Source organism: Homo sapiens, chromosome 1 (genome assembly GCF_000001405.40).
Source record: "Homo sapiens chromosome 1, GRCh38.p14 Primary Assembly".
In the NCBI taxonomy this organism is placed as follows: Eukaryota; Metazoa; Chordata; class Mammalia; order Primates; family Hominidae; genus Homo; species Homo sapiens.
In genome coordinates, this window is record NC_000001.11 from 213,846,453 (window position 1) to 213,867,291 (window position 20,839).

Sequence of the window (20,839 nt, forward strand, 5' to 3'; positions counted from 1 at the left end):
AGAACGTTTTAGTTAAGACCAATAAATGCCTTGACGATAAAAATATAAACAGACCTTAACTAATTAGCTTGCTAATTACTCTCTCCTGAAGCCAATTTCTTTTAGTTCTACTAAGCCATGATCAAAAACAAAACATCAAGATATAGTAAAGGTGCTCTTTTTTGCTGTCCTGGCAATTAAAGCTAATCAAGTGCACAATTGATTGCACAGAGATCAGAGACTAATATTTGGAACATATCACTCATCTATATCATATATAAATTTTCTATCTAGTTTTTTAAAATAAGAGTAAGGGTAGGGTGTGAAGGGAATCTTTCAATCGTCTCAATAATGATGCCATGATGAGCATCTGCAACCTAAGCTTAAATTATGAAATCCCCAATTAAAATATCAGAAATTTATCCAATTTATAAGCTCTTAATTTCCCTCTTCATAGGAGTCCAGGGATCTAAGCACTTATTTTCTTTGGGTGTTATTTCAAACAACATATTTTTGGGTTGATACTTCACCCCCAAATGCTGTGTCCATGTATAATTTTAAAGTAGTTGTAGGAGCCTATGAATTTGTACCTCTTGACCCTCCAGTGAGAGCTAAGTCAGATTAATCATGGCATTATTATTATGTCATGCATTCTAACAGTTGGCCTCTGGAAGAAAGTCATGTCTGCTGCAGTACAATTATTGAAGACTGATGATACAGACCAAAGTCATTATAATAAAATTTATTTGGCATAGATCTTCACAGCCACAGTTCCAACCTCACATCCCACTTAGTAGGCACATGGGATTCTACTTAGCAGGACTACATTTTCTACCAATATAAAGGAAAGGGTCCTTAATGGACACATTATATTCAACATAATATAATCCTTTTAGCAAGGAAAGACCCAGGAGGTTGCTTGTTGGAGATAGATCTGTACCATGAATACCACGCCTCCATCTGTTGGAGAGGGACCAGATTTAGTGGTGGTACTTAGCAAAACCAGACAAAGACCTATCCATGATCAGGGCATAAGTAACTCCATTTTCTAATTTCTCCACATTGAAAGTCCTTGTCAAATATCTGTGAGGTCTGGATGAGAAACTGAAATGGAGATGATAATCAGTAGTCAGTAGCAGCACCATCCTTCATGCACATCATAGGACAGGTGAGGCTGAAACCCACTGAAAGTGTGCAGAGGGTTCCTTTGGTCTGAAATGTTCTGCCCATCCCTTGACCCTCTCCTGTTTCTCTTGAATCCTTTATGCATCCCTTGTTGATGTCTATGGTACCCCCTACTTTCCTCAACTACCAGCCCCATCCAGGATCCTCTCTCAGAAGACGCCATTGTATATTTGAGAAAAATTTGAGGTCATCAAACACGGCTACCTCAGCCTCTTATGGACCCACCTCAAATTTCCCAGTGTCCTATTTTTACTCCTTTTGAAGCCCATCTGTATTCTGGATCCCAAAAATTCCTTAGCATTTTGAAATCTTTAATCTCTTCTCCTTGATTCTCTCTGTTTCTCTCATACACACACACATACACACACACAGAGAGAAAGAGAGAGAAGCAATTGCAGTTCTGTCTCTAAGTCTTCTATAACGACACAATATTGAGTAGAAGAAGATACAAAAGTAAAGCAGTAATCCAGATTGGGTAGACCTCATTAAGGAGGGAATACAGAAAATAATAATTTTTAACATTATTGATGTATAATTTATATAATGTTAACTACATCTATTTAAAGTATACAATTCAATGGGTTTTGAGAAACATATATATTTGTGAAATCACCACCACAATCAAGATATAGAACATTTTCAAAATACCCCAAAATTCATGTACACCATATCATTCATTCCTCCCTTTATTCCTGACCACAGGCAACTACTGATCTGCTTTTTGCTGTTACAGATTAGTTTGCTGTTTCTGGAATTTTATATTAATGCAAGCATACAGTATGTGCTTCTTTGTATCTGGCTCCTTTCACTTAGCACAGTCACTTTGAGATTCATTCATGTTAATGTGTATATCAGTAATTCATTCTTTACTATATACACATATAGTATATATGTGTATGTACTAGTGTGTATATACTATATGTGTATACACATATAGACACACACATATATTTTAAAAACTGTTATATACCCATACATATATTCTAATATATATTAATTTCCCCAAGAACCTTCATACACTGTATAATATTTCTAACCTGCAGAGGTTTTAGATTTGTATAAAGTCAAAGCTACTAAATTCTTACATTATATTGTCCACACTTCAATAACATAGATGTTTATAGATATACAGTAAACTAATATTTTCTTTTTGATTTTTTTTATATTGTAATGCTCTAACCCATCTATGATTTATTTTGGTATGAGGGAAGAAGGTCTTAATTGTAGTTCCTTTCAAAGCAGAGCCCGAGGCAAAGTTTGCATGTTCAAGGTTTGAGGGGAGAGGAATCCCGGGGCATTAAGAGTGAGAGAAAAGGGAAAGTGAGGAAGAGAAGGAGGAGACAAAATCAAAGATGGCATGTCATTACTGGGCTGGCCACAACTTCACAGGAAACAGAGCTGTGGCAGGATGTCAACAGAGGCTGACAGAACCAGTGCATGAGTCCAGTGGCACAGAGAGGGAATGAGGAGTGAGGAATCTGTCATCAACTCTCTCTTGCAATGGTTAAAGTTTGCACTTCTGAGCTGTGTTTCCCAAACACTCCAAGCAGCTGCTAAGAAAGTTTGGGTTTCATGGACTCAGCTGGGTCACCTCTGGGTGCTAAAACTGCTGTGGCTCCCACTGTGACAGACAGGAGCAATGGAGGATGTGCCCAGGAGGTGAGAGACAGGGGCTGTTAGGAGGTGAGCAACAGCAGCAGACGCCCATAGGGGTGGAGCCTGGCAATCCATGTAGGCTCCTATACTTAGGCTACTAGGGGATGTAACTTTCATTACCATTTATCCTATAATGAATAATCAACCCTTTCTTTACCAATTTGAATTCCAACTTTGCCATATTCTAAGTTCTTAATTATACTAGGGTTTATTTCTGATTCTACCTATGAATGTACAAATGTATAGTTACAATACTTTTCAGCTCTCTGGTGGTACAATTTCCCTCATTCATTTTTTCAAAGCTTTTTCTCAGCTATTTTCATAAACTCATGTGTGTAGGTAAAGTTATAATAATTTTAACTTGTTTTATAAAACAATTGAGGATCTGTATATAAATCACATTAAATTAATATATCTATTCAGGGATTCTCAAGATCTATAATACTGCACTATGTTTTACTTTTCATGAATACAGCAGAAGCTTCCATTTATTTAAGTTTTTTGAGGTCTCTCAGTAAAATTCTCCAACAATTTTTCATGTAGCTTCTGCAAAAGTTTTATTAAATTTTGGCCTAAATATTTTAAATTACATTACTCTGGTGGACAGGATTTTTTTTTTCATTGTGCTTTCTAACTGATAATTTATTGCATGTAGTAAACTTTTTATATTAATTTTATAACCAATCATCTTTCTAAACTTTCTAGTTAGTTCAAATAATTTTTCAGTTTATTCTCATGGGTTTTCTAGGCGGACAATCAAATTGTCTGTAAAGAATGATAATTTTTCCTTCTTCTCCAATAGTAACATTTCTTATTTTTCTTTTCTGCCCCTCTTCTTTGGCTATAACTTTAGAATATTGTTAAACAAATAATTGTGATAACAGTAATCTTTATCTTGCTCCTACCTTTAATAAGAATGCTTCTGCCATTTTACTTTTAAGTATGATGTTGGCTGTTGCTTTCAGAGAGAAATCTTAAATCCTATCAAGGTAACACATTTCTATTACTAGATCACAAAGAGTTTTTTCAATTGATCATCAATGTTCAATTTATATTTTTTGTCTTGAATAGACCTACCAGGACACTGTGTGTTTTACTGTGAAAAGGATGTTCACGTTTTCAATCCAATGTTTTTAACTGGACACTGGCCTGCCGCTTAGGACTCAGCTGCTTCTCCGGAGAGGGAGGCTTTGTTCTACCCTGCTACACAGGACACTAAAACCCCCTGTTTTGGGTCAGGCAGGCCATCTACAGTCTGACATTGCTCTTTCCGATGAGCTACTAAGCACCCACACAACTGTTTCAATTTGTGTTGCCTCAAAGTTACTGTCTCCAAACCTATATTGCTTACTAGCATTACACTTAGGCTTAGAGTATTTTTTACGTGTTTGTTCCCTAGTTAGTTAAGGGGACACAATGACATTGATTTATATCCATGATCCATGCTAGTTGTTTCTCTCCTCTTTAATCTTTGGACACTGGTGATTCCAGCCCCAACATCTCCCAATGCTTAGCTTACTTGGCTTTTTTTTTTTTTAATCTTGATATAAAAACTCTGTGGATTCTCATACTTCCTTAAAATAGAATATGATTTCTGTTTCACAATCTAGTTAGCTGATTTCATGTATTGTGTAAATTTCTTTTTTATTTTCTGACAGTCAGAAACATGTTTTCCCTCAAGGAAGTGAGTAGGTACAGGGGACTCCATGGAGCCCTTCGAATTTTCAACTGTGTTTATACCTTCTAGGTGCCTCTCCCCATTCCCAAAGTAGCCAGTCCACCTCTTCATCAATTTCCTTATTCCATTCCCATCATCAACCCCCTCTTTCAGCAAATGAAACTTGCCTCCTACTTCACTGAGAAAACCAAGGTGAGAATTCCCATTCCTAAAATCTATGACTAATTCTGGAGTCCTCCCTCCACTTTCCCTAGTTGACACCCTTCCCTACAGTTTCATGCAAAAAACAAAAATCACCTTTCACCACAAGACATCTTCACCCATTCCATCATCTCTGTATCACCTACCTCTGATGTATTAGCAACCTCTCCCTCTTTGCAGGCTTGGAAACTTCACCTTCCTTTAAGTCTTCAATCTAGATTTAAATCTCTGTATCTTCTCCCTACTTTCTCTCTCTCTTTCCAGTCATAAATGTGGAAACCCAGCAGTCCCTTTGCTGGCTCATCTTCCCCTGCCTCCATCTTAAATGTTGACACCCTCTCTTGACTCCAGGTTTTACTTTTAGCACTGTTTTTATTTCATGACACGTTGAGCGAGATTGCCCCCAGGTAATCGCATTCACTTCCTGAACTTCCACTCGTCTATGTGCTGCTGACTCCAGTGTTCTCATTTCTATTTCAAACCCCACTCTTAAATCTCACACTGTCTACTGGACCACCTCAACTTGTGTTTCCACCAGCACCTCAAAACAACATGGACAAAACCCCATGATCAGAGTCGTCCCTCCCCCACCAAATCTGCCCTTCTACCAACTCTCTTATTGCCACACGTGACATCACTGTCCACCCAGACACTCAAACCAGCGTGGGAGCCACCCCAGCCTCTCCCTCTCCTGCACATCCAGTCAATGCCTCCATTCAGCCTGTCTTCGCTCCTTGAGTTCTCCTGTGCTATTCTTCTCTCTCCCACAGTCCCTGCCGCAGCTCTGACCCTAAGCATTTCTCTTGGAACTCCTGGTATAGCCTCTGTGCTCTGAATGTTTTTCTCTTTTATGCACCAAGCTTTTTCTGACCTCTGGGCTTTCTTTCCCACATACTGCCCACTGTTCTCTCTCCTTAAAACACTTGTCTGCCCTGATCTTGACCTTGTCAAACATTCCTGAACATAATCATCAACGGAGACCTTCTTTAAAAAAAAAGAAAGAAAAAGTAGTTCTATTTAAATCACTTCTGTGCTTAAAACCCTCTAACAGCCTCCATTGCCCTTGAGATACAGTTTAATCTCCTTAGCATGGCATACAGATTCTCTGCTCTAGACCTTTCCCTTGCCAAACTTCTGCCCACATCCTGTGTTCTTGTCGCAGAAAATTTCTCATATCTCCCCATCTCTGTCATCCACATTGCTATTCTATGTTATTGTGAACATATCTTTACCTAATTTTTTTTTTTACTGGTAATGCTTCTACAACCTCCTCCCCCACCCAACTATCTAGCAAACCATCTATTTATCTTTTTTAAATGATCTCAAAAATAACCTACTACTTCTTTTTTTGCAGTCTGGCATAGACTTATGTCACAGCCTTTTTAATCGACAGATCTGTTTTCGGATCTGTTTGTCTCCCTGTAAATAACAGTACACAAGCTTGTTATGGCCATTTCCTCAATTCTTTATCCAAAACTACATTTCTTTATTGAAAAACCATTTTTAAGCACTCTGTTAAGCATTAGGAACACGAAGATTCATGATAATAACAACATAATCGTAGCTCCCAATGAACACACACAGAGAAAGGCAGAGAGACAAACATACACAGGTAACACAGCAAATACCCTGACAGTGATATTCACCATCTATTTATCTTAGGGGCACAGAGAAAGAATATCTAATTCTGCTAGTATCGCAAGAGTCTCAAAGTGTGCGTGACACATTTGCTTGGTAAATACATATAGTTTATTGAGGGCATCGTAGTTTGTTGGGAAAGAGAGAAGGAGTGAGCAGCCAGCTCATGGAATATCCCAAAGGAAGTTCCCCATGGACTCAGTCCATTTTCTCTCCAATCTGTATCTTCATCTTCACTCTATTTTGCATCTGGATCATCCATCCCTCTGGAACACAAGGGGCCCAAGGCAATTGTCAAGGGGGAGAACAGCTAATCTATGCTCTGCCAGTAAGTCTCTGGAAGTTCCTGCCACCCTCTGCCTCTGCCTGGAGCTCACACCCCCGGCTTGCAATTGCAGCCAGCAGATGTGTATTAAGAAATAACTAATCAAGCCATGGCCTTCAGCCACATGGTGGAGGCCAGTGTGGTAACTACACCCCCTGTCCATCTCTCTAAGTATCTGTAACCCCAAAAATTATGGAGCCAAGATGATTCATGATGTTCTCTGGACCATGAGCGCCTGAGGAATCTATAAACACACAGTCCTTAACCCCTTTGAGCCCCAAATGCTTCATCTGTCAAATGAGGATAATAACCTTCTCAAAGTGCTGCTATCCAGAACAATGTGATCTAAAATGCCTCACTTATTATCTACCACAAAATAATTGTAGCTTCTTTTCATTGAAGGCATACTCCATGCTGTGAGAAGAAATGTAAGGCATACTTCCCTTACATGGGTTTGATTTTGGGGTTTTGCTGTTCCACTTTTGTTTCAATGATGCCTATGACTTCTACATTTCTTTGGCTTAACACTTGTTTTCTCTTCAAGACACATTGAATAGATATTGAATTCAAGGGAACCATAATTATCACCATCACTTACAGTTCTTTGCTATCTTACCAATGAATCTAGAAGGGGATTCAGGTTGGATTGATGGCCTGAGCCAGTCTGGAGTTGGCTGTGACTGGATTCACTCCTGATGCTCTAAACTCTCATCTGAACACCACATATTGCCTTAATCCACATGCTTCACTTGGGATTCTACTCAGCCCTCGACTGCCTCTCTTGTCCTCACCACAAATAACCCTGGTTTGTTCAAATATAACACCAGCATTGAGAAGAAGGTGACTGGTGCGATTTCTTCCTATGGTCCCTTATTAAAAATGATTCACATCTCCCTTTGTAAGATGAGGCAAAAGCAAAGAAACAAAGTGAAATTGAAAAAGAAGGGGAAAACTGAAAACAGAAAGTCAACATGGCAAGAAAGCGGGAGATGTAGTCCCTGTTAGTCTCTGCAGGATAGGACCTCGGGGACAGCTCCCCTACCTCAACCACAAATAGAATATGATAATTCATCTCCTCAAACATACCAGGGGATTGCTGCCTCTAGCAGGAACTGGATTCCCCACGAATCTCTGAGACTGTAGCAGTCGACTCATTTTCTGGGCTACTTTTAACAAATCATTGAATTAATTTCCTTTCCAGTTCTTTATGAGAAAACTAAATTACAAATATCACCAAAATGTTCTTTCCCCACTGGCAAATTCCCCTGAGTCTAGTGTTTGAGTTTCTATGACTCCATTTGGAGTAGGTTTTAGGAGACATGCATTTTATTTGTAAAGGAAATATTCAGTACCAAAGTACTGTACTCTCTGTAGGCCAATATAATCTCTTTCTTTCTCTTTCTTTCTTTCTTTCTTTCTTTCTTTCTTTCTTTCTTTCTTTCTTTCTTTCTCTCTCTCTCTCTCTTTCTTTCTTTCTTTCTTTGAGTTCCTTCTCTACTCTTTTATTCACCCTCTGATTTAATGGTACTACTTTCCAGACAGCATTTTTCATCTTCAAAGACGTTTACAGACTTGCAAAATAAATGTCAGTCCCTGAAATGCAAACCCTGGGACTCAGATGGACCACTTGGGGGTAACTCCTCTGCATCGTACAGAAATCCAAAATTTTACAAGCAGCCTCTGGTTAGAGTCTTCGCTGAGCCTGGGTCCAGCCCATGCCCCGCCTTATCCCAGGTCCCTGTCTTAGTCATCTACTCAGGCAGCTATAACAAGATACCATAATCTGTGTGGCTTAGCCACAGAAATTAATTTTCTCACAGTTCTGGAGGCTACAAGTCCAAGATCAAGGTTCTGGCCTGTTTGGTTTCTGGTGAGGGCTCTCCTCCTGGCCGGCTTTCACACCATGTCCTCACATGGTGGGGAAACAGGGAGAGCAAGCTCTGGTGTGCCTTCTAATAAGGATGCTAGCCCCATCAGGGATGCCTCCTTATGACCTTATTTAACCTTAATTATATTCCTACCCCAAATACAATCATCTTGGGGGTTAGGGCTTCAACATATGAATTTTGGGAGGGATGCAATTTAGTCCATAGCACTTTCCCAGAAAACAAAGTCAAATGGACACAAATACAGCAGATGTCTATTTCAGTCAATTACACAGTACCAGAAATGAGCTATGAAAAACGCTTATCAAGTCGTATCATCCGTCACTACTGCCACCACTCAGCAAGGCTGACAACACTTCTCTTGTATTTCAAAGCACTTTAGGGAAGTTCTTTTGCTAGGCTGACTCTAACTCCACAACCTTGTCACCTGACACTGCCTGAGAACCTTCATAATAGGCTAGATGTGCTCCTTCTGCCGACAATGCACTCTTCCCTCTCCACTGGAACAGCTAAAAACCTCTTCACTAGCCTAGCATCTGTCCTTGGGTGCCTTCCCTTGTCTCTCTTCTCCAGGGGGCTTGTGTGTGCCCTGCTTCTTTCTCTCAGGCTGAAATCCCTCCTTTCATCTCTCTTGCAACCTTTTTAGATGGTGGAGACCATCTTATTACCTCATACAGTGCTAGCCAAGAGCTGGCTACCCGGTCCACTGCAAATCACTGCTCCTTGGCCCTTCAGCTCTGTGTAACACATCCACGACCAGCTTTTCCTGGCATGGTGACAGACTTGCCATCCTTCTGTGTGGTCTGCCTTGCAGGCAATGCTGTACTAGGCTCTGGTTTAAGAGGGTTTCTCCATCCCAGTGTGATTTTCCACATCCATTGCTACAGGAGAGTGGCGGTAGCTGGTGTGGATACAGGCAGTACCATGGGAGGCCTGCAAACTCCCCTTCTTTTCCATGCCTCCTGTCTGCCTGGGCAGAGGCTGCAGGGAGTGGAGAACATCCCAACCAGCGGATATGTGATTAGGTGACGAGGGAGCCTGGCTGTCACTCACTCCCTCTCCCAGACTTAAGGGAACTGTCGGCTGAAGCTTTCCCTTGGGGCCTGGAGTGGAGTCACTCACAGGGTAAACACTGTCGTCAGTCTTTTTCACTATAACTCTGTGGACCCCTCACACACACACAGTGGAGGATATAAAACCAAGCTGAGAATATGGTGGCTGGAATGTGTCGGGTCCCTGTTAGACACTTCTCTAAGAAAAGCAGAGAGGAAAAAGAAAGAAAATATGGGACTTCTAATGAAGAGGTGCTTTAATTCTTCTTACTGCTTCTATAATACACACACATGCATACACTCACATGCACATACACACACACATCTGTCTATACCACCAAATTAGTTTCATATATTTTCTTCCTTCTTCTTTCTCTCTCTCTGTGTTTCTCTCTGCTCCATCCTTCCTTCCTTCCCTCCCTCCCTTCCCTCCTTCCTTCCTTCCCTCCTCTATTCCTTTCTCCCTTTCTTCCTTCCTCCATTTCCTTTCTCCATTCCTTCTTTCCTTTATTTTATGGCCTCAGCCCAATCACCAAATGTTTGTTCTACATGCTATAAACTACGTTTTTTGCATAATTTTTACTAAAGTTATACTCATAGAAAATCTAAGTATTGCACCAAGAATAAAAACACAATCTGTTAAGGAAACACTGTAAGTGGGCACTTCCCTAAGTTCAATGTTTTGTTTCTTTTAAAAGCTGTACATTCTTTTTTAAACCAATTCTATCGTGTAGGCACACGGTTTGATGGGCTGGTAGTCAGTGTGTCTGGGGTGAATTCCCAACTCCAGCAATTCTAGATGTGACCTAGCACCAGTCACTTAAGTTCTCAAAGACTTCATTTCTTCACCTCTAAAAATAGTAATAACAACATAAGCTAGCTCATGAAGTTATTGTGAGAATAAAATTCACTGAAACATGTAACGCACATATAACAAAGTTTGGCCTTTAGTAAGTGTTTAACAAATATGATCTATTGCTATGATATTAGTCTTATATTTGTATTGAATATATATTATATGCCTAAAACTGGGCAGGTGAGGCATATGAAAATAAGCTAGTTATTGTTGACTTTTTACCAAATTGATTGACCCAAAGGAGTGTTTTGGAGTGATGTGCACCACACTGCTGGACACCCATGGGCCTCCCAATGGTGTGGCATGTGATACCAAAGTCTGTGAGCCACCATTGTCATGACCAGTGGCTGCCATTTTGAGCATCTAGGCTTTCTTCCCGTTGAATTTCAGACTCCTCATGAAAAACTAGTAGATAATACAAGTTCTCTACCAGGGCAAGAATCTTTCTTCATGAAAATTATGCTTATAAAAACAGTGTGAGGTACTTATAAAAATACCAGACTTTAATGTGTTCACACCTTCCCGTTATTCTCAGGGGCAGCCTTTACTCCTTTCTTCTTTTCACACTGCAACCAGACGGCAGATCATTTCACCAGGACTCCTCAAGGCATAGCCCCTTTTTGCATGGATTTAGGTGCAATGGGAAAGCAGTAAATTCCTGTGGAGTGCAACCACTAGGCTAACAGGCCCATTGAAGTAACAAACTTTCAAACCAACCAGGGAATTATTATTTCTCTGTCTTGACACTGTTCTGGGCAGAAGGCTTGCTACTATCGCACACTTTTTCTATGATAGATGTCCCACTGTACTCCCTCAGTGTCTGGAGACTGCCCCCACTACACAGCAGGACGTCCTGCTTGGGCAGCATCTGGGCCCTGGCCTGGTTCTTCTCAGGAAAATTTCCACCAGCACATCAGCTACCTCCTCGGTGATGTCCAGCCCCATCAGCACCACTGCTCACCCAGGGACAGGCCATCAGTCTCCCAAGGGTTTAACAAAGTGAAAAGTAGCTTCTCATGCCAAATAGGAGAGGGACTCTTGGCCAAAGGCTCACGTCATGTCAAAATCAGGTTTAACAGAGAAGCTCTATAAGCAATTACCCTTCCTCCCTTCTTACATCAGCCAAGTTCTGCATATTCACAGAGCACTGCAACATCAGTTATTTCATCTGATCATCTCAACCACCATGTGTATTAAGCAAGATATGCGTATCAATAACAATGATAATGATAATAATTGTAATAAATAATAAAAACTTTAACTGGGAGCTTACTCCATGCCAGTTACATGCCATATACTTTGTATGGATTATCTCCATTGTCATAACAACTGTATGATTATCCCTGTTGAAAGATGAGGAAACCAAAGCTCAAAGAGATTAACTTGTGCCCATTTTACAGGTGAGCACTCCAGTGACTAACCCAGCAAGTGGCATTCCCAGGTCAAGAACCAAGCTCCTCAAGGCTCTTTCTAAGGACCATGATGTGTTTTTTTTTAGCATCTTCAAGTCACATGTTGGGGGGGCGGTGGTTCTGAGGCCAGTTGATGCAGCTTTCAGGGTTCGTTGTCCCAGCCTCAAAGAGGTCAGTAACAGTGGTCAATCAGCTGCACCCACAGGCCAATATTGCTGCACAGATACAAAGACATCTCATAACCAGAGCAAAGGACATGATCCCAGTTGGAAATGACTAACAGGGATCTTTTGCCTCTGAGGCAACAGCTGGAATCTACAACCAGTTAGCGCCAGTTCCACTGGCATGTTCTGTCTACATAATGCAGACTATGGCATTTGGCAGTGGCTCTTAAATTTGGCACACTCCACATTCCTCCTGGACCCACAAGATAACATAACCAAATGTTTTCTGATGCTGTAAGAAATGAGTATTTTGCAGGTAGGAGGAAATGCAAACATGCCCCCTACAGGAGGCTCACTCCATCCAATCCCAAGGGCAAAGTGGCTCACTCCCTCTTGACCCTTTCAAAGGTTAAATGTGGAGCAAGGGCCCAGATAAATGGTCACAATGCAAACAAAGTCATGTAAATAAATGCATCTCTGATCTATGCAGGCTGGTGATGCCAAATATGCCATCTGCATCGTTTCTCATGATGAGCTGGACTTTTTTTTCCTGCATGTCCCAAGCAATGAGAAGATGACCATGTTTATGCAGACCAAGGCATGCATCATTTGACACTCTTGGAAATATTTTTGAAATTTCAGATCCACAGGCAATCAGTGGCATTTGTGCTTTTCTAGGTTAGGTTAAAGTTGTAAGAAAGAGAGAATCTCACAAGAAAGTAATAGGGCATATGTCCGGGGCCTGAGAGGGTACTTGCAATGTATTGTGATTTGGAGTGGGTTCTAGTTGTATCTGTAATCTGAACACCCTCCCCTCGCCTGTTTATTCATATTCATTTAGCAAAAGCATTATTAACATGATTTATTCCTGCAGTTCCTAGTAGATCTAAGATGGGGTTCAGGCATCTGTATCATTTTTCAAACAAAACAGAATGAAGCTTCTAGGTCAAGCAACAGCAAACATTTTCTGCAAAGAGCCAGATATTTTCAGTTTTATGGGTCATGTGGTTTCTATTGTAAAGACGCACCTCTGCCATTGCAGCACAAAAGCAGCCCTAGACAATATGAGAACAAGAGGGTTTGTCTGTGTTTTGATAAAGTTTTATTATTATGAAAACAAGCAGTGCACTGAATTTGGCTTGTGGGCTATAGTTTTCTGACTCCCGTTCTAGATGGCCCTTATTATCATTAACTGTGCTTGAGATCTGCTTGTCCAGAAAATACTGTGACTTTGGAGAGTGCTTTACAGGTATCACCATCTATGGTGGAAAAAGGGGTTGCTTTTGCTTTTGGAACTTTTTCTCAATCAATATAGTAACACTGCTTTTGCCCATTCATGCCATAGGACGGAAAACTCCATATTTTTAAATCATTCCTTCAATGCAGTTGATGTATGCTTACATTGAATCTGTTCAAATACTTTTCAGAGATGCATAATGTAAGCACCCATCTTTTTGGAAGTAGAGAGTTTTACTAGATATACAGTCTAAACAAAAAAAAAATCTAATTATAGTCTAAGTTTTTTTGAGATCAGGAAAAAATGGATATTTCTGTTGGTTACTAGATGTATCATTGTATTTTAGGGCCTGACATAGAAAAAAGGTGTAAATATAGATACGTATATATATTCAGATATATATACATATGTATCTATATATATCTGAATATATATAGGTGTATGTATATATATGAAGAAAGTTCTTAAATATCAAGAGTAGGCTTATGCTCTTAATTTTATTATATTATTATATTTGATAGATTTTTTTAAATATCAATTCTTTACTATAAACCCTGAATTCTAGGATTCTGAAATACACATAGCCCTTATTAAAGGGTAAGTTCACTTCAACGACTATTTATGAAATAACAATTTCGGATCTACTCTTTCAATTCTTGAGTGGCAAAATTGTGTAAGAGAAACAAAAAAAAAATACCTATAGCAGAAGTGAGAAATACCATAATAAGAGCTCACAGCTATAGGAGCAATTAATTCTTCTTGAGTGGAAGTAGGGTAGAGGAAACAGAAGGAAAAGAAAGCACCATGGAAGCTCAGGAAGAACCACAGAGAAGGGGTGGCATTTGAGCTGGGCATTGAAGGATGAGTAGGAATTCTGCATGCAGAGAAGAGGCAAAGGAGAGAGTGTTCTAGCAAGGGGACAGAGTCAGGAATAGCACTATATGTTTAAGGAGTGATGTTTAGGCTAATTGGACTTCAGTGCAAGGTGCCTGAGAACAGTGGAAGAAAAGCAGAAGACGCAGCCAGAGCCTGGAGTCGCATGGTGAAGCACTGTTGGTAACACTAAAGCTTTGGGATTTCTCTTTTTCTTTTCTTTTTTTTTTTTGACACAGGGTCTCACTCTGCCACCCAGGCTGGAGTGCAGTGGTTCGATCTTCGCTCACTGCAACCTCTGCCTCCTGGGTTCAAGCGATTCTTCTGCCTCAGCCTCCCAAGTAGCTGATATTACAGGCGTGCACCAACATACCCTGCTAATTTTTGTATATTTTGTAAAGATGGTGTTTCACCATGTTAGCCAGGATGGTCTCAAACCCCTGGCCTCAAGTGATCCTTCCACCTCAGCCTCCCAAAATGTCGAGATTACAGACCTGAGTCACCATGCCCAGCTAAAGCTTTGAAATTTATTTTAAAAGGCTGAGGGAAGCTATTTAGGTTTCAAAGCAAGAAGCTGACTTGATCTTAGATGAGTTTTAGAAAGCTGATAGAGGGCTGATTCAGAGTGGGCCTTAAATCTGCCCAAATATTAATAATTTGTCCCCAAAACAGGAGTGGTTCAACCTTATCCCAGGAAGCTAAACAAACTCCCCAAATGCCAGGATCCAGGAAGAATACAGGGAGAAGGCCCCCACACCTTATCACCGCACACTTTCTAAGAGAAAGCTGGGTGCGCACCCAGGCCCAGGGCCAGGCTCTGTCCCCTCTCTCAATAACAGCGTGGACGTGGATGGAGATAAAAATGTTGCAGGGCAAGGAAAACAAACACACTGACCAACAAGAATCTTTTCAGTAGCCTGAGAAAGAAGCTTTTAAAACACAAGACTCTTTGCTAGTAGCAAAACAGCCGCTATGGCCATCACACACTCTCAATGCAAAGCCATTCCAAGCCACCTCTGCAGATGTGCACAGTTTACAGCTGAATATGCATTTACACCACTATCGCTTCCTCAGGCAGGAGGAACTGGAGTCGCAGCCTACCTTTGGCTCCACTGTTTTTCAACATTTATTTTGTTTTAACATCCTCATTAACAGAAGATGCACGGAGTTGTTGCATGATGTGAACATTTTACTGTCCAGTCGTATCTTAATAAATGCTTTTGCTTCCTTTCAGATCTGCCCTGCCGGTGTTTGACACCCGAGTCTGAAGCTGGCACCTCATCCATTCCCTAGTCCTGCCTTTTTGCTCCCCGGGCTCCCTTTCCAGTGCCACCATCGCCCTCTTTGCACTTCCCTCGCACTCCATCTCAGAAGCAGACTTCAAGGAGATCAAAAGAGGCTGCTCCTCAAGGAAGAGCAGGGGTCCTGCGGCTAGAAAGCGGGGGGCAGGTGAGCAGGTCTTTCCCACACAGGAGCCAGCATACCCGGGGCAGGCAGGCAGGCACTTAATAAGGGCTTTGAAATGGATTCTTTCAATAAGCACGTATAGACCATTTGCTGCACATGCTACGTAGTCCTAATAAGGCCCAGCCGCGATAAGAATTTGCTCCATGGTGTTGACTGCATTAGCGTGGAAATGAAGAGGATCGTGCGGCTCTCCTTTTAGGAAATCAAATTTCTAAAACCATGCAAGGAGAAGAATAGAATCCTTCCAGGCCCAATATTTACCAAGGAGACCTTCCTCTCTGCCGATGGTCCGGAGGGTCACATTGGGTCTCAGCAGAGGAAAAGCCGTAGGCCCTGGGCCAGAGTGCATGCCAGCTAGTCTAAGGGGAGAGGAGAGGGCCAGAAGCACCAGAGCACGTGATTTATTTCTGGTCATAAAGGAATCAATTACTGTACCAGGATAAAGCAGCGATTTTTTTTTTCTACTCTGCTTTTGCAATCTTCTTTCTTCTCCGTTTCTATTTCACTCTCATTTAGCTATAACTGAGGAGTACTCAGTCCACTCTTCCCCATTCATTTTCCATCATGTCATTTTATTTTGCATTGAGAACTCAAATCCTTGTTTACATGTAAATAACTCACTGTTCTTCATGCTTATTTAAAAACAAATAAAAAGAGACCACTAATTATCAAAATTGTTTGAAATATACCATTTTTGGCAACAGATCCCTTATTACTATAGATCACTTTTCATTATTTAAACATGGTTTTTTGATCTTTTTCTCTCAGGGATTGGATTTAAAGAATTGAGCTTTAGAATAGTCAAAGAAAGACTGAAAACTCTTTGGGTATAAATTGGAGGAAACTACTAAAATGCTAAGTGCCATGTTGTAGTCTACTATTGCTTTTTAGTAATGGAAATGCAGCTTGGTACGCTCCTCAGAAGAACATCCTTATATTTTTGCATTGCAAGTGTTCATTATGTGCAAGGGTCAGAGCAGAACTGATCTGAAGGAGCTCAATTTTAAAATCCCTTTAAAAATCTGGACAAAGGATGCCATAGTATTACACTAAAATGTTTAAAAACAAAAAGTATTATGCGTGCCCCATGGTGGAAGATCAGATTTTTATTAATGCAAGTTTTAAATGCTGATTAATCCTCTTGAGAGTCAGTTTCCCAAAGCATTGGATTGTATTCAAGTCGTTTGCAAAACGGCACATCACTACCAATATTCTGAATATTAATTGAACAACATTATAACTGAGGATACAAAGCAAGATTTAAAACATGATTACAGCTGTCAGTGCTTACATCTAAATAAGTCATTGGAAATTCAGGCATTAAAGAGAAAAATGTAGTAAATCGGTCTTAGCAGAACAGTGAAGCTCTCTCTCTTAGCCGTTTTAAAAAATAAGTCTGATGCTTTAGGACCCAAGAGAGCTTCAGTTATGACTTCGCCTTGTATTTATATGGGCAATTTCTGATCAGAATTCAGAAATCAAAGGTAGATTTTTTTACTTGTGATTCGACACCGCATCAAGGACATTTTCTTGGGGAAGAAGGAGAGGAAGAGTCAGAGAATATTATCCAGTTGATAGAATCTTCACATTTCCTTATTTTCTATTTCTATTTCAGTCTCTGTCCACACTCAAAAATCAAAGAATTAGCCCGACTTAATCAAACAAAATATTACTATGTTTTCCGAACAACTTATTCAGCTCAGAGTCAAGCAACTGTAAGTAACTAATGACTTATTTTTACAATAATCAAATTTGTCTAAATGCAACTTCTTTTATCTCTCAAATCTAGTTTGGGGATTGATAAAATCCTCATCTCTCCACCAGATGCAATATAAAATACTGGCTTCTATTATAACCATGGGGAATTTTAGTTTTGTTTTGTTTCTTTAAATGGTTGCTGTGTATTTGAGTGATAGCTCTTTGTTCGAAAAGATGCAAAAGCCACTCTCACATCTAAGTCTAATGAGATAAATGGCATTATGAAGGGAATATTAAAAATTTACAGCCCTTTTTACTAAGTTTTTTTGTCAGCTGTAGATGCTGAATATTGCATTGCACACACACACACAAACACACACACACACACATACAGTCCTGACGATGAAAAAGATATGAGGAGATAATGATGCAATCATAACACGTCTGATGGAGTTTGCATATCTCGGTTGCTGTTTGGCATGCCATTTAATTGTATTGCGCCAAACTGGCAGAATCACACAATATGTTAGTGTAAAAGGTCCACAGTTTAAAGGGAAAATCTAGAAGTGTTGACTATACACTGTCTAATTATACAACCTTACTGCCCCAGAATGTGATTTCAGAAACCATTTCTGACATATGGGAAAAGGGTAGAACAGCTGGTCATTAAGGTTTTCTCAAGACTATTTAGCAACACACTTGAATGTAATTAAAGTGAGACACTAAATACTGCACTTGTGGTACAATGTATTTTTAATTTTTATGGCATGTGGTAAAAGTAAATAGATGCAAAGCATTCAAGTTTCTGCATTCAGCATCCAACTTGTCAAAGATGCACTGTCTGGCTGATCGCAAGCAGGGTCCTGGTGTTAGTCACAGGCATCCATTTGGGGTGCTTAAGACTGTCTTTAAGGGACTGAATTTGGCAATACACAGATGAAATGTCAAATTGGGATCCTCAGACAAAGCATGAGATGAAATTCACTCGTTCATTCACTCATTCATCCAACACAGCTTGGATTATTTTAGGTGGGCATTATTTCTGCCCTCAAGTTGCTTGCAGCTTACGTTGCTTAAAAACAGTGTGATAGATGCTCATTAAAGGGTGCTATGACAGCACCAAGAAGGAGTCTGGCCCACACTGGAGGCCTTCCCCGAGTAAGAATTATCTTAGTCAGCCAAAAAAATGGTGAGAGTCAGGGGTAAGGAGTACGAGTGAGGGCAGGAAAATAGTCCAAGCAGAAGGAGCAGCTAAAGCAAAGCCTTGGAGACAAAAAGGAATATGAGAATATGAATACAATCTTGACCTTTATTGAACAATTTATAATGTTCTGGCACTAGGGTAAGGCCTTGACATATATTGTCTCATTTAATCCTCACAACAACCCTATGTGGTAAGTACTATTATCATACTTTACAAATAAGGAAACTAACAGGCTAGTTTGTGGCAAAGGAATTAGTGGGTAACCGAACCACAGTTCAAGCCCAGGTTTGTGTGAGTTCCAAGTCAATATCTTTTCTCCAAAAGCTCCCCCCCCCCACAATTTGACATATATGTATATTGCATGTGTATTTAGCTTTCAAAGAAGTTAGCGTGTAAATACATTCATTCTTATAAAAACCCTATAGAGTGTAAATACATTCATTCTTATAAAAACCCTATGATTAAGAGAATAAAAAGACAAGCTGCAGACTGGGAGAAAATAGCTGCAAATCACATATCTGACAATGGGTTTGTATCCAGAATATATAAAGAACTCTCTAAACTCAACAGAAAAAAAAATTCAACCAATTAAGTCAATGAGCAAAAGACACACGATGGCAGATAAGCAAATGAAAAAATGCTCAACATCATTAGCTATTAGGGAAATGCAAATTATACCACAGTGAAATACCACTACCTGTGTTATAATGGCTACAATAAAAATAATGACAATGCCAGGTGCTGGCAAGGATGTAGAGCAACTGGAACTCTCAAACATTGCGGTGAGAGTGCAACATTGTGATACCACTGTGGAAAGTGTTGGAAGTTTCTTATAAAGTTAAACATATACTTACCATATGACCCAGCAAACTCACTCTTAGGTATTTAAGATAGAGAAATAAAAACTTATGTTGACATGAAAACCTGTATGTAAATATATAGAACAACACTATTTATAATCTTCAAAAACTAGAAACAATCCAAATGTTCATCAACCTGTGAACCAATAAACTGGAATACTGCTCAACCATGAAAAAGAATGAATTACTGATAAAAACAACATTGATGAATCTCAAAGGCATTATGCTAAGTGAAAGAAGCCAGACTTAAAAAATTTACACACTGTGCGAAATTCTCAAAAAGGAAATCTCTATTAGAAGGATGGCTGCCATAGGTTAGGGTAGGGGGAATGGTTTGACTTATAAAGGGCAGTATGAGATCATTTTTCTAGGGTGAGGGAAATGTTCTGTATCCTGATGATGGTGGTAGTTACATGAACATATACATTTTTAAGACTCATAGAACTACACATCAGAAAATGCTAATTTTACTGTATACAAATTAAAAATAAAAGTAAAAAACATTATGAAGTAGGAGTTTTAGTCTGGGTTCCCCAAAAGTAAATCCTGAGATAAAAATTAGGTGCTAGAAATTTATTTTTTAGGTTAACTCAGGAATCAAAAGTGAAGAAATGGGGACAAAGTGAAAAAAGCAAGACAAAGAAAGGAGAAAAGCCAATAGAGCTGCCTTAATGGGTGGCTGCTGTGGGCAATTTGAGCTTCATCGTGCTGAGAATCCTCTAAGAAGCCATGTGAAATATATCTCAGAATCATTCCACCTGGTTGCGAGTAAGTCCCCCTCATCTCCATCTTCCTTTTGGTTGAGGGTTGCCACTAGGAGCATAAACTCTTATGCTTCTAAGTTTTGCAAATGCCCTGGAGAGTTCTCAGGCCAACAAACAGACAGACCCAGGCTCGTGAAGTGGGAAGATGTCAACTGTCTATTGTTGCTCTAGCGAATTCAGGTGGGCTAAGGGATACAGGAAAGCCATTACCAGCATCTGCCAATGAGATATTAGTAATGGCTGCTCTACACAGATGGTTCTGCAATTAAGTGGAGGGAAATTTACCAAACAATGAAAAGAAATGTGTGCAGTGTTAACAACAAAAATTCTAGTCATCAGGGAAAATGCTTACAAAATGCCAGGTATCATACTAGCTTTGCCAGACTTCATATATGGCCATGGAATTCTTCCCCAACAGCCTTATGAGGTAAACATTAATATCCCCATTTTACAAGTAAGGAAACTGAGGCTGTAGGCAGTTAAGTGGCTTTCCCAGGCACACAAACACACACAATACTAGGAGGTCATAAGATCAAGTCTGTGCAACATAGAAGCCCATAGTCTTTCCCATCATGCTGGGCTAGTGTCTTCCCTGATTCATGTTGCCACATAGCATCCCAGAAGGCACAGTAATTCTGAGGAAGCAGTGTACAGCATGGGGCAATCATGAATTGTGATAAAAAGCCAGACCTAAGTTACTCCAG

At 40.0% G+C, this 20,839-nt stretch overlaps 1 protein-coding gene and 1 long non-coding RNA gene across 2 annotated transcripts in view; one reads left to right on the forward strand and one right to left on the reverse strand.

The window, feature by feature from the left end:
• The window catches only part of RPS6KC1 (ribosomal protein S6 kinase C1), an 811,495-nt gene extending 795,212 nt beyond the window's left edge, over positions 1-16,283 (forward strand). Inside the window, exon 19 of the transcript XR_007058661.1 lies at positions 15,377-16,283. The gene's annotated coding sequence lies outside the window, so the exon portion shown is untranslated. The remainder of the gene's footprint in view (positions 1-15,376) is intronic.
• PROX1-AS1 (PROX1 antisense RNA 1) overlaps positions 1-20,839 on the reverse strand; it is a 166,513-nt gene that overhangs the window by 26,812 nt on the left and 118,862 nt on the right. The gene's annotated exons all lie outside the window — the stretch shown is intronic.